The following is a 14,550-nucleotide window of genomic DNA, read 5'->3' on the forward strand; positions in this document are numbered from 1 at the left end:
AGGTGGGAGGATCCCTTGAGCCCAGGAGTTCAAGGCCAGCCTGGGCGACATAGCAAGACAACTTCTCTTAAAAAAATAATAAAATAAAATTATAGCCGGGCGTGGTGGCTCATGCCTGTAATCCCAGCACTTTGGGAGGCCAAGGCGGGTGGATCACAAGGTCGGGAGTTCGAGACCAGCCTGGCCAATATGGTGAAACCCCGTTTCTACTAAAAATACAAAAATTAGCCAGGCGTGGTGATGTGTGCCTGTAATCCCAGCCTCTTGGGAGGCTGAGGCAAGAGAATCACTGAACCCAGGGAGACGGAGTTTGCAGTGAGCTGAAATCATGCTACTGCACTCCAGCCTGGGTGACAAAGCGAGACTCCGTCTCAAAAAATAAATAAATAAAATAAAATAAAATTATATATGTGTATAAATTTATATATGTAGAAAATTATATAGAGAGAAATGTTTATATTATACATAAATTTATATATAATTAAAACATAATTTTATATATAATATATAAAATTTTATATAATATAAAATTATAAATATATTTTAAAATATTTATATACATAATATATAATATATAAAATTTTATATATTATGTATATAAATAATATATGTAAAAGTTATATCTAAAAATTCTCCATATATAATTTTCTATGTGTATACATTTATTCTTCTCTATATATGTAATTTTCTATATATATAATTTCTATAGGTTTATAATGTTATTTTATTATTTTTTAAGAGAAGGGGTCTTGCTACGTATATATATAAAGGAATATTACGAGGAACTCTGTCATCCATCCTGGAGTGCAGTGGCACAACCATGGCTCACTGCAACCTCAAACTCCCAGACTCAAGCAATCCTCCCACCTCAGCTTCCTAAGTAGCTGGGACTACAGGTGTACACCACAATACCCAGCCAATTTTTAAACTTTTTGGGAGATGGAGTCTCACTATGTGGCCTAGGCTGGTCTCAAACTCCTGAGCTAAAACAACCCTCCCACCTTGGCCTCCTGAAGTGCTGGATTATAGGCATGAGTCACCATGTCTGGCCATAATATTTATCTTTTTAACACTCATAGGATTAGAAGTGATGGCCCATTTTTCAGTCCTGATATTAGTAATTTGTGTCTTCTCTCTTTTGTCTTGGTTCACCTGGTTATGAGTTTATCAATTCTGTTGATGATTTCAAGAGCAGGCTTTTGATTTTGTTGGTTTTCTCTATTGTTTTCCTGTTCATAATTTTGTTGATTTTTGCTCTGATTTTATTATTTCTTTGCTTCTGCTTACTTTGTAATTAATTTGCTCTTTTTAATATAGTTTTCTAAAGTGGAAGCTTTGATTATTGACTTTAGATTTTTCTTCTTTTCTAGTATATGCATTTAGTGCTATCCATTTTCCTCTAGGCACTGCTTTTGCTGCATCTCACAAATCTGATGGGTTGTATTTTCATTTTTATTTAGTTAAAAATATTTTTTATTTCTCTTGAGACTTTTCCTTTGACCCATGTGTTATTTAGAAGTGCATTGTTTAATCGCTAAACACTTTGAGATTTTCCAGCAATCTTTCTGTTACTGATTTCTAATTTAATTCCACTGTGGTCCAAGAGCAGACGTTGTATGATTTCTCTTCTTTTAAATTTGTTAAGTTGTGTTTTATGGCCCAAGATGTGGTCTATCTTGGTGAATGTTCAGTGTGAGCTCTGTAAGAATGAGTATTCTGCTGTTGTTGGATTAAGCAGTCTATAGATGTCAATTATATACAGTTTTATGGTAGTACTCTTCAATTATATTCTGCCTGCTGGATCTGCCAATTATGGATAAAGGGGTGTTGAAGTCTCCAACTACAATAATGAATTTGTCTATTTCTTCTTGCAGTTCTATCAATTTTTGCCTCATAGATTTTCACACTCTATTGCTAGGCACTTTATTACTATATAATGCTCCTCTTTATTCCTAATAATTTTCCTTATTCTGAAATCTATTTTGTCTGAAATTAATATAGCTACTCCAGCTATATTTTGACTAGTGTTAGCATGGTATATCTTTCTGCATCTCTTTACTTTTACCCTGTGTTTTCACATTAAAAGTGAGTTTCATGTCGACGACATATAGTTGGTTCTTCTTTTTTATCCAGTCTTGTTCTTTTATTGATGCATTTAAACTATCCACATTTAAAGTGATTATTAATATAGTTGATCAATATATACCAAATTTGTAACTTGGTCTTCATTTTCTTATTTGTTTTGCTTTTGTCTCCCACTCCTAGTCTTCTCTAGTTTTAAACATTTTATATTATTTAATTTTCTTTCACTCAGCATATCAAAATTTTTCTGTAGCGATTGTTCTAGAGTTTGGAGTATACATTTATGACTAATCCCAGTCCACTTTCAAATAACACTATACTGCTTCAGGGGTAGTGCAGTTACCTTATAACAGATTATTCCTGATTCCTTCCTCCCATTTCTTATAACATTGCTGTCATTTATTTCCCTTGTTCACAAGCGATAATGATGAATGGCATTGTTGTTATTATTATTTAGAACAAAGACTGTTATCTTTTAGGTCAACTAAGAATAAGAAAAATAAAAGGTTTTATTTCATCTTCATTTATTCCTTCTCTTTATTTCTTTATGTAGAGCTGAATTTCTAACCCATATCATTTGCCTCTCACTGAAAACTTCTTTTAACATATCTTGCAAGGCAGGTCTACTTTTTTGAAAATTAAATAAAATATTATATATATATATATATTTATAAAAATAAAGGTATTCACAGTTCTGAGTTTCAGTGTTATCAAGTTGCCAACAAAAAAAGTCACTGATGCTTCATGCAGATGTCTAAACTCTATATGCTCAAATTTAAGAGTGATATGAACAATTTACTATTGCAAAAAGTAAAGATGTCACTTGCATTGTTGCAAATATGTGTTGATTTCTGATTACCTCCAGAATTGTAATTTGTAACAAAAAGAAGGCAAGAATATAGATGCTCAGCCCCACAGGAAAATGATATTTCATTATGTAAAATTTTATTGCATTTATGCTATCCAAGAAGGATTTCATTCATATTAATTAATTTGCCTTTTATCTAAGCATTTTTATCACTCAAATTCTCTTTGCACTCAAAAGCAGTGTCTGTCACAACCCACCATCCTTCATGTCACTTGGCCATGACAAACACAGAGCAACAGATGTGAAGCTTTTCCCTGGGGCTTGAAAAAGCATTAATTGTAGAAGCAGATATTTAGGGTTAGAGGCTTTGCTGTACCAGAGTGGAGACCGTGATCTCTAGTGACAGAGACACCCTCATGTCCACATGTTCTTTAATACATTTATTTTCACATGTGTTTGTTATATATGGGCCCTATAAAGAGCTGCACTCAGGGCATAGGTCTTTTCTCCTATGTTTTCTTAAGAAAAAAAAAAAAACTCAGCCAAAATTACCTTCATTAACAATAGACCTCCTTTCCAAGAAGAAACATACACCTTTATATAGTCTGGTCATTTGTTTACAGCATTCATTGTTGATTTAGTGTATCTTACCCTTTTAATGACTTCACCTGTTTTAACATACATGAAAAGCATCCATTTTTATGCTCAGTCAAATGCTGTTTCACTGGTTACACAACAAAAAATGATTTCTTTCCTCTTCCTTCTGGAGTCCTTTACCATTCATTTGAATCACTTCTGAGGTAATAAAAATAGTCTGCCCTCTATGATAGTGATTTGGCTGTATCACCTTTCCATTTCCATTCATTCAGTTAACAAATATTTATTATGCAGAAAACAAAGTACCAATCCCTATGAAGCCAAGGTAAAAAATTTAGATTGCGACTCATTGAAGACAGGTGGATATGCCTGAGGTTTGCATTGCCCAGACTTGCTTGCAGGTGACACCCATAACTGTTAAAGACTATGTGCCAGGAAATTCAGTATGCCTGATTTTCAACTGATAAAACTTCAAAAATTTACCTGCTAATTTTGTTTTGAGAGTATAATGGGAAATTTGAAGTGCAGTTGAAAGACATCTGTCTAGCAATTTAATCTAAATAATAACAATAATGGTAATAACATAAAATCATGAAGATCTCTGTGGTAATCTTTGAACTTTTTCCTCCTAGGATTTCCAGACTGTATTACCATCATTTGAGCTCTTCTCAAAGTATGGAAAATTATATTCAAAAGCTGGACAGATTGTATAAAGGTATGACTTTTTGCTAAGAAGTAATTCAAAAAGTATATTAAATAACACTTAAAAAATCAAATGGGGTTGACTTAACTATCAAGCATTTTAAAAACCATGCTATAATAATATTTTATGTAATAAGACTCCATAAATTTCCTTCATTGTAGTGTAATGGTTTTCAACATTTAAAAGATCATGAATTTTACTTTTCAGATCTCTTCTCCAAAATGAGCCAAAAATACATTAAGAAATAGAACATTAAAAATCTAAAATACTCTTTCTTTTTTTTTTTTTTTTTTTTTGAGACAGAGTCTTACTCTGTTGCCCAGGCTGGAATGCAGTGGCGTGATCTTGGCTCACTGCAACCTCCACCTCCCAGGTTCAAGTGATTCTCCTGCCTCAGCCTCCAGAGTGTCTGGGACTACAGTCAGTGCCACCACACCTGGCTAATTTTTGTATTTTTAGTATTTTTAGTAGAGATGAGGTTTCACCATGATGGCCAGGCTGGTCTCGAACTCCTGGCCTCAAGTGATCTGCCCTCCGTGGCCTCCCAAAATGCCAGATTACAGGCGTGAGCCACCATGCGCGGCCCTTAGATACCCTTTAACTAATACAATAAATAGTTTTACACAATACGGTGAAAAAATACTGTTGGTGCTCCAAAGCCAAAATACTTCTCAGTGCTGTGTTGATACAGTATCATTTCAAATATTATACTAAATAATGTACATTATTTGAAGTATGAAGTGTCTTACAATACCAAAGAAATGGAATATAGAATCCTGATTATCAATGTTTAGAAGATATATAAGAATAAAGAGAACCATATAAAATTCAAGAACAAAAAATAAACTCTCAATGAATACTGTATTCCATTTCTAAGGCATTTTAGAATAGAGCAGTGGTTACAATTGAAGTGTGTCTAATAGGAGCTATTGTGACATTTTCAGCCAAATTTAAAGAATGTATTGGGTGAAGACAGCAAAGATCACTGCAGTTGGAGGAAAGGGGCAGAAATGAGAAATCATGCTAGTTAGAATCCCCCAGCTATCCTCTCAGACCAAGAACCAAGGAGAAAGCACTAGGCTGTTAGAGCACAGGGTAGATTCCAGGCAAAGTTCCTTCGATTTTATGTTACTCTTTCCTCTCTCCCCACTGAGTGCTTCAATTTGGAAGTTAATATGTTAAATGCAGATACCAATGTCTATCTTTTAGCTACTCTGAAGGAATACATGAGGGGAAATATGAAATATTCTGAGCTAATAGGAAATGTATATATAATACCAAGTGGAATTGCTGTTTCAAAGGTTTATAAAGTATCATTACCCATTGGAGCATTTATCTGGTATTTGAGAGCCAGAGTATGAAGTAATGTAAATAAAATGTCTCATATTTGTGTATGACTTCAGCTTTTAACTCAAAGATATATCAGTCCTGTTTATGATAATGAAAGATTGAAAATAACTTGAACACTCATTAATATATGTTAGTTAAATAATAAAACACATATAAGGCAGTACTATGCAGACAGTAAAATGTTATAAGTCTTTACCCATTAATTTTTAAAAATGCCTACAATATATTTCTAGGAAAAGAAGACGGGATTCAAAGTACGCTGTGTAGTCTTATTTCACTTAAATATATACATATGTATGTGTGTATACATATATACATATGTGTGTATACATATATACATGTGTGTATGTATAAAAACACACTTGCACCCACTATTATATTTAATATGTATATGTATACATTTGTATGTTGCAAAACTGTTAATGGTGGTTATCTCTGGGTGGTGAGATTATGAGTACTTTCTGTGGGATACTTCTTTTTAGTTCTATTTTTTGATGTTTTAATGCAACCAGACGAAAGCCAAGTATTAAAACAAAACACTCCAGTAGGGACTGTTTGCTCTACTCTATCAATTACAAAAACATCTTGACTTTATTCTATTTAATCATAATAATTTAGAGGCAATTATCTTTTTTTCTGAATATGAAATAATTACTTGCTAAATTATTTATACAGAAAGACAAAGATGAGTAACAAATGGTGTAGATTATTTTTAATTAAAAAGAATGTGCAATGCAAAGGCTCAAATATGTTATGGTTTTTTTTAATATTTGCCAGCTCTTCTTTTCAATTTTTAACAATTTTGTGAATTGACAATATTATAAAAACGTCATCTCCTTTTCTTTGATAGGAAATGAATGTCTAGTGTTTAATTTTGGTAAGTGAAGGGCAGCAGCCTTAGCTGAGGCTCTCCTATTAAGATTTCATTTCACCAAATACAACAAAGTGCTTCTGCTGTTTGTAAAAAAAGGCCAAGATGGGGACACCTGCACCAAACTGTTGAATAAAGATGCCATAGTAATTTTTAGAGCTATCTATTTGATTGCTTCAGCTCCAAGGTAGTTCATCACTTCACTATAATTCACCCGACATCGCCTTTTACACCCAATACTACATTTTCCCATCAGTCCGATTAGAAATAGTGATGCCTTTATCAGATTAATCTTTCTCTCTTTTAGCATGTCTAAGTTTAGGATAAACACTGCCTGTACCTAGCTGTTATCATTAATGCTCTAAGATTTAAACCACTGAAAAATACACGGAACTAGATCTTAAACACACACATATTTTAAAATCTACTGTCTGACTAGGATAACATTACTCCTTTTAGTGTCTTTAATTTGTCTTTTTAAATGGTCACTATTTGTAACTTTCAATAGTTTCCCAAAAGCAGTTTGGTCTAAATCAGTGTGTTGTGTCCTGTCAAGAGTGTTTTGCCATCCTTTTAGCTCCATTTATCTTTCCAGGCAGAGTCTCTTTAAACATTGTTGTGGAGAAAAATTAGCAAGATAAGGTTAAAATCATTGGTTGTAATTTTATGAATTGTATAATGTACCCGATTCAGTCTGGCATCAGTGTGAGTTTTCATGCATTACAGGCTTCCCAACTTCCTCCAGTTTGTCTTTGCAAAATGGGCTTTGGTCCAGGCTGTCTGTCTGCTAAAAAGTGGTTCAATTTTGAGGCCCGATAAGATGAGTTTTAATTAAATTATTTGTTAGGTTTGAAAAACAATGTACTTTTTCTCCTTTTCCATAGGAATTTGGCATATGAACAACTCAGCTAAAACAAATAAATCAATGAAATGAAAAATAAGTATAGTTAGCACCTGGACTGGGAAAGGGGTTAAATGCCATCGTCTTTTTTCCAGAGGGAATAAGATCTTAGCAACTGTGTATGGAAAAAAGTTCTATGAGGGGAGAGTAATAATTAAGCATATAAGTTATATGTGTGCCTGTTAGGAGTTAAAATTTTAGTTTAATAAGAAAAATTATTAAATTTTGTCATTCAGTTTGGCATCATGTGAACTTATAACCCTTTCAAGTTTTGGCATAGTGAATTGGCAAAGAGAAAAGAATAAAGGTATCTTCAGCATCCTTCTCTTGGTTAAATTGTCTTTGACTAAAAATATTATAACCACCCCACCTACCTGTGTGAAGATGTTTTGCTATGTTTTTCCATAATAGAGGCAGATTTGCTAGACATTCCATATGTCTAGTGGCACACATAATCAAGATAGGCTTTTTTGTTTATGGTTTTTAGTTTGTTTGTTTTTGTTTTTTTCAGAGAGACAGGGTCTCACTCTGTTGCCCAGGGTGGAATGCAGTGGCGTGATCATAGCTCACTGCAACCTCGAACTCCTGGGTTCAAGTGATCCTCCTGCCTCAGCCTCTTGAGTAGCTGGGATTACAGGTACATGCCCTCATGCCCAGCTAACTTTTTAATTTTTTTGTAAAAATGGGATCTTGCTGTGTTACCCAGACTTGATCATGACTGTTCATGAAGATCTGCAGTAGTGTAGACGGAGAGCAGAGAACAGGGCTAAAAATGATTCAAGTCCGGGGCTAGGACCTCCTAACATTAACTGAACTGAAGCTAAGAGAGGAAGACTTAAATAGAGAATTTAAGAACTCATGTTTCTGAAGTTCCTTTTTTTTTTTTTTTCATTTTACTGTTTTGTTTTTAGAAAACAGAAGATGAAATGTAAAACTGAGATTAAGGTGTGAAGTGAGTGTGAATAGAAGACCCCACACTGCCTGGAGTCCTGGATTCTTCCACGTCTGATGAGTGACCTTGGATCTCTTAATCTCTCTAGTTTTCTCTCTCTTAGGCGTCAGAAGAAGAAACTGAAGCCATCTGCATTTTAAAACTTAACAGTTCTGAAAGGAAAACACAGATGAAGATCCTGTAGGAAATATACTTGCTATGATTCAATAAACTATAAAATTTTGTAGCTCTAGTCATGAATTAATTATTGTGTGTATGTATTTGAAATCTCTTAGACATATCTTTTCAAACAAATACTTAAACTTGAGTCTGTTACCTCTGAGAATGTCTGTCACAATCACAGCCCCTGGTGACCAACAGTGCCATAAATGGTTCCCCTGAAATACCCATATTCTGACCCCATCACCCGGGTCACAAATGATGACACCAGTGCTGGGTACCCAAATTAAGGGCGACTAACATGTAAGTAGGATGATGAATGGTTTGAAGTGTAAATTGTGTGAAATAGTTCAGCATGAAAGCTCTGCCCTGAGAAATAATGACTGATTATACCAGTTAGAAACCCTTCAGACTGTTGAACTTGAGACACACAGACACAACAGACACAGACTAGTGGGTGTGGGAGCAGAAGCATAGGCACTCTCAAATAGAGAAGACATTTGCAAGTCTCTGCTGCCAAGGGAGCAAAGAGATAATCTCGATGCCAGGGCTGTGTCAGATCCTGCATGGCTCTGAACTACAGTTGGTTTCCAAAAAGCTGGGCTTTTGTGAGGTTTCTGTTTTTTATGCGATGCTTAGATTTTCCTGGAATCCTTGGAAGTTAACTCAACATTTGAGGTTCCTATATCCTTTAATCCCATCCCATGTGTATCTTTACAATAAAACTTCCTGCTAGAGGTATCCTGAGGGAATCTTTGTTTCTTGCATCTGAAGAGAATAACACTAAACTTATTGCATATGATTTGGGGGTTGGATCCAATGATAGCACAGAGGGACAGGAAATGTGATTTATTGACCATAAAAGCTTTAATTTAAAATTGCTGGCCAGCGAAATCCAGACTCTGGGAAATGTTATAGGCCAAATGATCTGTTTCTTCAACAAATAAATTACAAAACTGAGGGGAAAAAAAGGAACCTATTAAAAAGACATTATCTATCAATCACTGTGTGTGTACAGTTTTGAGCTCCTGATTTAAATAAACAAATTGTAAAATAAAAGATCTTTTGAAACAATTGGAAGTTTGAACACTGATTGGATATTGGTGGTATAAAAGAATTATTGGTTTTTTTTAGGTGTCATGGTATTGTTTTGGTTTACAAAGTTATAGATATAAATGTTGAAATATTTACAGATGCAGTGATATGTTGGCTGGGATTTAATTTGAAAGTCAAAGAAGTGAGTTAAAATACATATACTCCTCCTCTTATAATCGGTTATGTGCCAATAAATCCATTGTAAATTGAAAATATCCTAAGTTGAAAATATTGTAAGTTAAAAATGCATTTAATACAGCTAACTTACCAGACAGCTTAGCTTAGCCTCACCTACCTTAAATATGCTCAGAACACATACGTTAGCCTATAGTTGGGCAAAATCATCTAACACAAAGCCTATTTTATAATATTGAACAGCCCATGTAATTTATTGAATATTGTACTAAAAGTGAAAAACTGAATAGTTGTATGCATACTCAAAGTATGGTTTCTACTGAATGCATTGTAAACCAGAAAGTATCTGAGACAATGTTTTTTTTTTTTTTTTTTTTTTTTTTAATTTCTGAGACAGAGTCTCATTCTGTCACCCAGGTTGGAGTGCAGTGGCATGAACTCAGCTCACTGCAACCTTCACCTCCCAGGCTCAAGCAGTCCTCCCATCTCAGCCTCCCAAGTAGCTGGGACCACAGGCATGGGCCAACAAGCCTGGCTAAATATTTTGTACTTTTGGTAGACACGGGTTTTTACCATGTTGTGCAGGCTGGTCTTGAACGCCTGAGCTCAAGTGATCTGCCTGCCTCGGCCTCCCAAAGTACTGGGATTACAGGCATGAGTCACTGAACCCAGCCCTGAGACATGTCTCAATTAGTTTAGAAGTTTATTTGGCCAAGGTTAAGGACATGCCCTTGACACTGCACCTGTCAGTACAGGTCCTGACAACATGTGTCCAAGGTGGTCAAGCTATACAACTTGGTTTTATACATTTTAAGGAGACATAAGACATCAATAAATACATGGAAGATGTACATTGGTTCAGTCTGGAAAGGCAGGATGCCTCAAACTTGAAACAAGAGAATGGGGGGTGGGAGGATGTGGGAGATGCTTCCAGGTCATAGTTGGAGTCAAAGACTTTCCAATTGGCAATTGGTTCAAAGAATTTATCTAAAGACCTGGAATCCATAGAAGGCTTTACCTGGATTAAAATAAGGGGACCAAGGTTCTCATGCAGATGAAGCCTCCAGGTGGCAGACTTCAGAGAGCATAGATTGTAAATGTTTCTTATCTGACTTAAAAAGGTGTCAGACTCTTAGTAAATTATCTCCTGGATCAGTGAAAAGATGTGAAAAAAGGTTCTCTACAGAATGTAGATTTTCCCCATAAGAGATAGCTTCGCAGGGCCATTGCAAAATATGTCAAAAATATATATTTTAGGGTAAAATGCCTCAATTTATTTCAAGGCCTGATATTTGTCATGTGATGCTATACTACAGTCAGGCTGAAACTTGGCATCTTATTGCTATGAAAAATCTTAAGATCTCTATTTTAATGTTAATGCTGGTCACTGGTGCCTGAATTCCAAAGGGAGGAGGGTATAATGAAGCATGTCCAATTCCCCATGCCCCACCCCCACCCCCACATCCTATAATGGCCTGAACTAGTTTTTCAGGTTAACTTTGGAATACCCTTGGCCAAGAAGAGGGGTCCATGCAGATGTTTGGAGGGGGGGGTCTTAAAGCTTTATTTTTAGATTACAGCATATTGCTTTTGCACTATCATAAAGTAAAAACATCATAAGTCAAGCCACCATAAATAGCGGACCATCTGTATATCTGAAAGAAGATGAACCAAGACTTGGTTATTGTTAAAGCTGATGATTGGCTGTATGAAGATTTACTATACAATTTTGTGTACTTTTGTAAGTTCTTGGTTGTTTCTAAACTTATAACAAAATAAATAATTGGCCATCTTCATTGGATTGTGAAGCCATTTCCTCCCACATGTTCGTAAAAATGGTAGCCATGGCCCCTGACTGAACCCAGGTATGAATGGCCTTCATTGATTTTGTAGACCCTGACCTTCTCTGTTCTTCCAGAGAAGGTGGTACTCAGATAAAAACTTTGAAGCATTTTATTGTTCAGAATATGACTTTGATCTTCTCATAAGACTCAAGTTTTTGAATGCTTAAGGCTCTTTATCGCTAGTGTATGTAAGTAATATCATTGTCCTTAACCACCATCTGCCTCTCCCCCCAGACACACATAAGTTTATGATAACTACAGAGGTGTCCAGATGAGTAAAAACTGCCTTTGCATTAAGGTGAGAGAAGACCGAGATGAAATCTTATTAGAAAATATAACTGGGGAAAGCAGTTTGTCTGTTTCTCCTGGAAAACTACTAGACTACATCAACTTATATACTACTTCTTTTCTATATTCTCAATATGAGCCACTTAAGAAAATTAATGAGACTTTATGTTTGACCAAAGCTGGTAATTCCTTGATCTTATTCTCCAAACTTGATTCTGAATGACTACTGACCACTAAAAACACTAAGAGTACCACTGTGGATGTTTAAAAACATACACCCTAAGAGCCTTCAGAATTAGACGCTTCAATTCTTCTGAAATCAAAAGTCACACCAGCTTTGCTGTAGTTAATCAGGTAATACCTTTCTTCTCCACTACTCTCTAATTTCCTTGAGGGCAAATATTGTCTTTCTTGATAAATGCCCTGGACCCAACATCTAACAGAATACCTGGCATAAAGTGAAATCCATCGAATGTGCTAATGATAAATAAAGAAGTTCAAAAAAATCTTTTAATAGAAGCTATAAAATAGCAGATAAGCTAAGTCATTCTCATAAAACACCATTTGTCATTTGAATGCGTGCATTGTGGCCTGTTACTTTTAACTAGTCTCACTAATTTATAGTTATATATGATGTAGATCTAGATTGTGATGTACACTAAGTGGGTTGATCCTGAGATCAAGCTATGATTGCTGCTTGCGTAAAGTGTTCCTTTTGGGAAATAAATAATCTTTCATATCTGTAAACTTTGGTATAATTGGTTATTTATGCAATGTATTGTTGTGGTTGTCAACTCAAGATTGTATTCTCATCTGGGGACATTATGAATCTTGTTATTTTATCCCCTTTTTTGCTCTGTTTTTTCACATTTATGGCCTACCTGTTACAGCTGCACGGTATCCATTTTCTGTGCTAAATTCATCTTTAATTTATTATTTTTTTTCAACCTCAGCTTTTAACTTTGCCCTGATTTTCTCTTCCATTTTATTTTCACTTCCATTTTAAGCTGGCTCAAAGCCTTTTAGGAACAATAAGTTACTGAATTATATGAACCTATTTGAGGTAATGATGATGCCTGGGAAGGAGCAGTATTGCTGGATCAGAATTCACTTTTTCCAAGTTACAGATTTTAATAAACCACTGTGCAAAGCATTAGGATAAATTTTTATTGAAAATTGAGTGAATGACTGAACAAATCGCTGGGTAATGCTGTTTAGGTTGTTCTATTTTCCACGGATTAAATTAAATTCTATGTATCTACCGTCTCTGAGCTTATTTAAAACCACAACTCATCAGATCTTTTGTGTTACATCTTCAGCTACCTTGCAGTAGTTTACTACAGCCAATGAAAAATTTCAAATGAGAATAATAGCGTTAATTTTGACTGACATGGGAATAGTTATTTAGCGTGTCCTAGAAAGAGTGAAGAGTGCACCATGACAAGCACATACATGTTCATGACTCTCGTTTTGTAATTCAAAGCTTTTTCCTGTGGGAATGGAGTGAAATCCAACTTGATCTGGGGCTTGGACCTTGACTGCTCCTTTTGAGTCTCAGTGTCCCCAGCAGGCTCCCTCACAGGGCACAGTAGGGACTGCTAAGCACTCTTCCATTTCTAAATATTTCAACTCATTAATGCGGGAATCACCTTGCTGCTGGTACTGGCAGATACAGTCACTTACCAGTATATTGAGTTGAGTTTATAGTTCTCAGCTTCATAGTCATGATCATGGGATGCAGTGAGGCAATTCATTAGCACACTGTGACTTTAAGCAATCCTTGCTACAAAGTGACATGTCTGTTCATTAAAGAATCCTTATACTAAGAAATGACGAAACTGCACATACTGGTCAGAATAAATCACTTAAGCAGGTAAAGGGGAAACATAGAGTGTGTGTTTCAAGTTAAGTTGAAAAATTAATTTGCTGCTTTGTAGGGGGGATTATAAGACCATACAAATTGCAAGTGAAGCCTAAGCTCTATGAAATCAAATAATGATTATTTACTAGGCTTGAATTGTTCCATAGTTAACCTATTTTCCAGCTCGAAATTAGTCTGTGCTGTTTAATGTATTTTCAAGGCATTTATATTTCATTCCAAACTACCTAACAGAAATTAGTTTTCGTACCTCTCTCAATGTGGAAATAATCCATTTGAATAAAGGAAACCTGAAAACTAAGTTAAAAAAAAAAACAAAAAGACTAGTTCTTTATTCTTACTCACTATTGTAAACTATTAACATCACTGACCAGGAGAAGGGAACACACACAAAATCATTTTGTCATTTTTGAAGCCTGGGTAACTTGTTCATTCACTTCTCAACAAGGATTCAACACAGAATATTTCATTTGTGAACATTACTGTATTAAAAGTAATATGAACAGATAATTATTTTTAGTAAATAGAAGATGAAATCACTAGAATCTGAAGAGAAATTAAAAGTGAAAAAATGGTTACTTAATGTGTGCATATGTGTGTGTGTGTGTGTGTGTGTGTGTGTGTGTGTGTTTAAGTTTGCTGCCTACCTAAAAGTTCAGCAAATAGGATGGGAGACGGATGTAAATAGTTAAGGCAAATTTCTTAGAGGAGGCAAACGTCGAGTCCTTAATAGTAGTTAGGATCTTGAGTTGATTGAATTGAAAATATGAGTGAGAGAGGTTATCTGACAAAAAGAATTACATAAGCAAAAGCACAGAAATAAAAATGATCAAGATGTGTGCATAAGGAAATTTTTTAAAGTCTTAATTGGACACTCAGCAAAAAA

General features: G+C 35.0%; 1 protein-coding gene across 2 annotated transcripts in view; it reads left to right on the forward strand.

Annotated features, from left to right (window-relative positions):
- Positions 1 to 13,042, forward strand: part of SPATA17 (spermatogenesis associated 17) — a 240,353-nt gene extending 227,311 nt beyond the window's left edge. Inside the window, exons 10-11 of one of the 2 annotated variants that reach the window (NM_001375655.1) lie at positions 4,120 to 4,202; positions 8,224 to 13,042. In NM_001375655.1, the coding sequence (NP_001362584.1) occupies positions 4,120 to 4,200 (81 nt within the window). In that variant the 3' untranslated portion in view covers positions 4,201 to 4,202; positions 8,224 to 13,042. The remainder of the gene's footprint in view (positions 1 to 4,119; positions 4,203 to 8,223) is intronic. The other variant, NM_138796.4, reaches the window with a different exon arrangement.
- The last annotated feature ends 1,508 nt before the right edge of the window (positions 13,043 to 14,550 follow it).

Source organism: Homo sapiens, chromosome 1, assembly GCF_000001405.40.
Source record: "Homo sapiens chromosome 1, GRCh38.p14 Primary Assembly".
Lineage (NCBI taxonomy): Eukaryota > Metazoa > Chordata > Mammalia > Primates > Hominidae > Homo > Homo sapiens.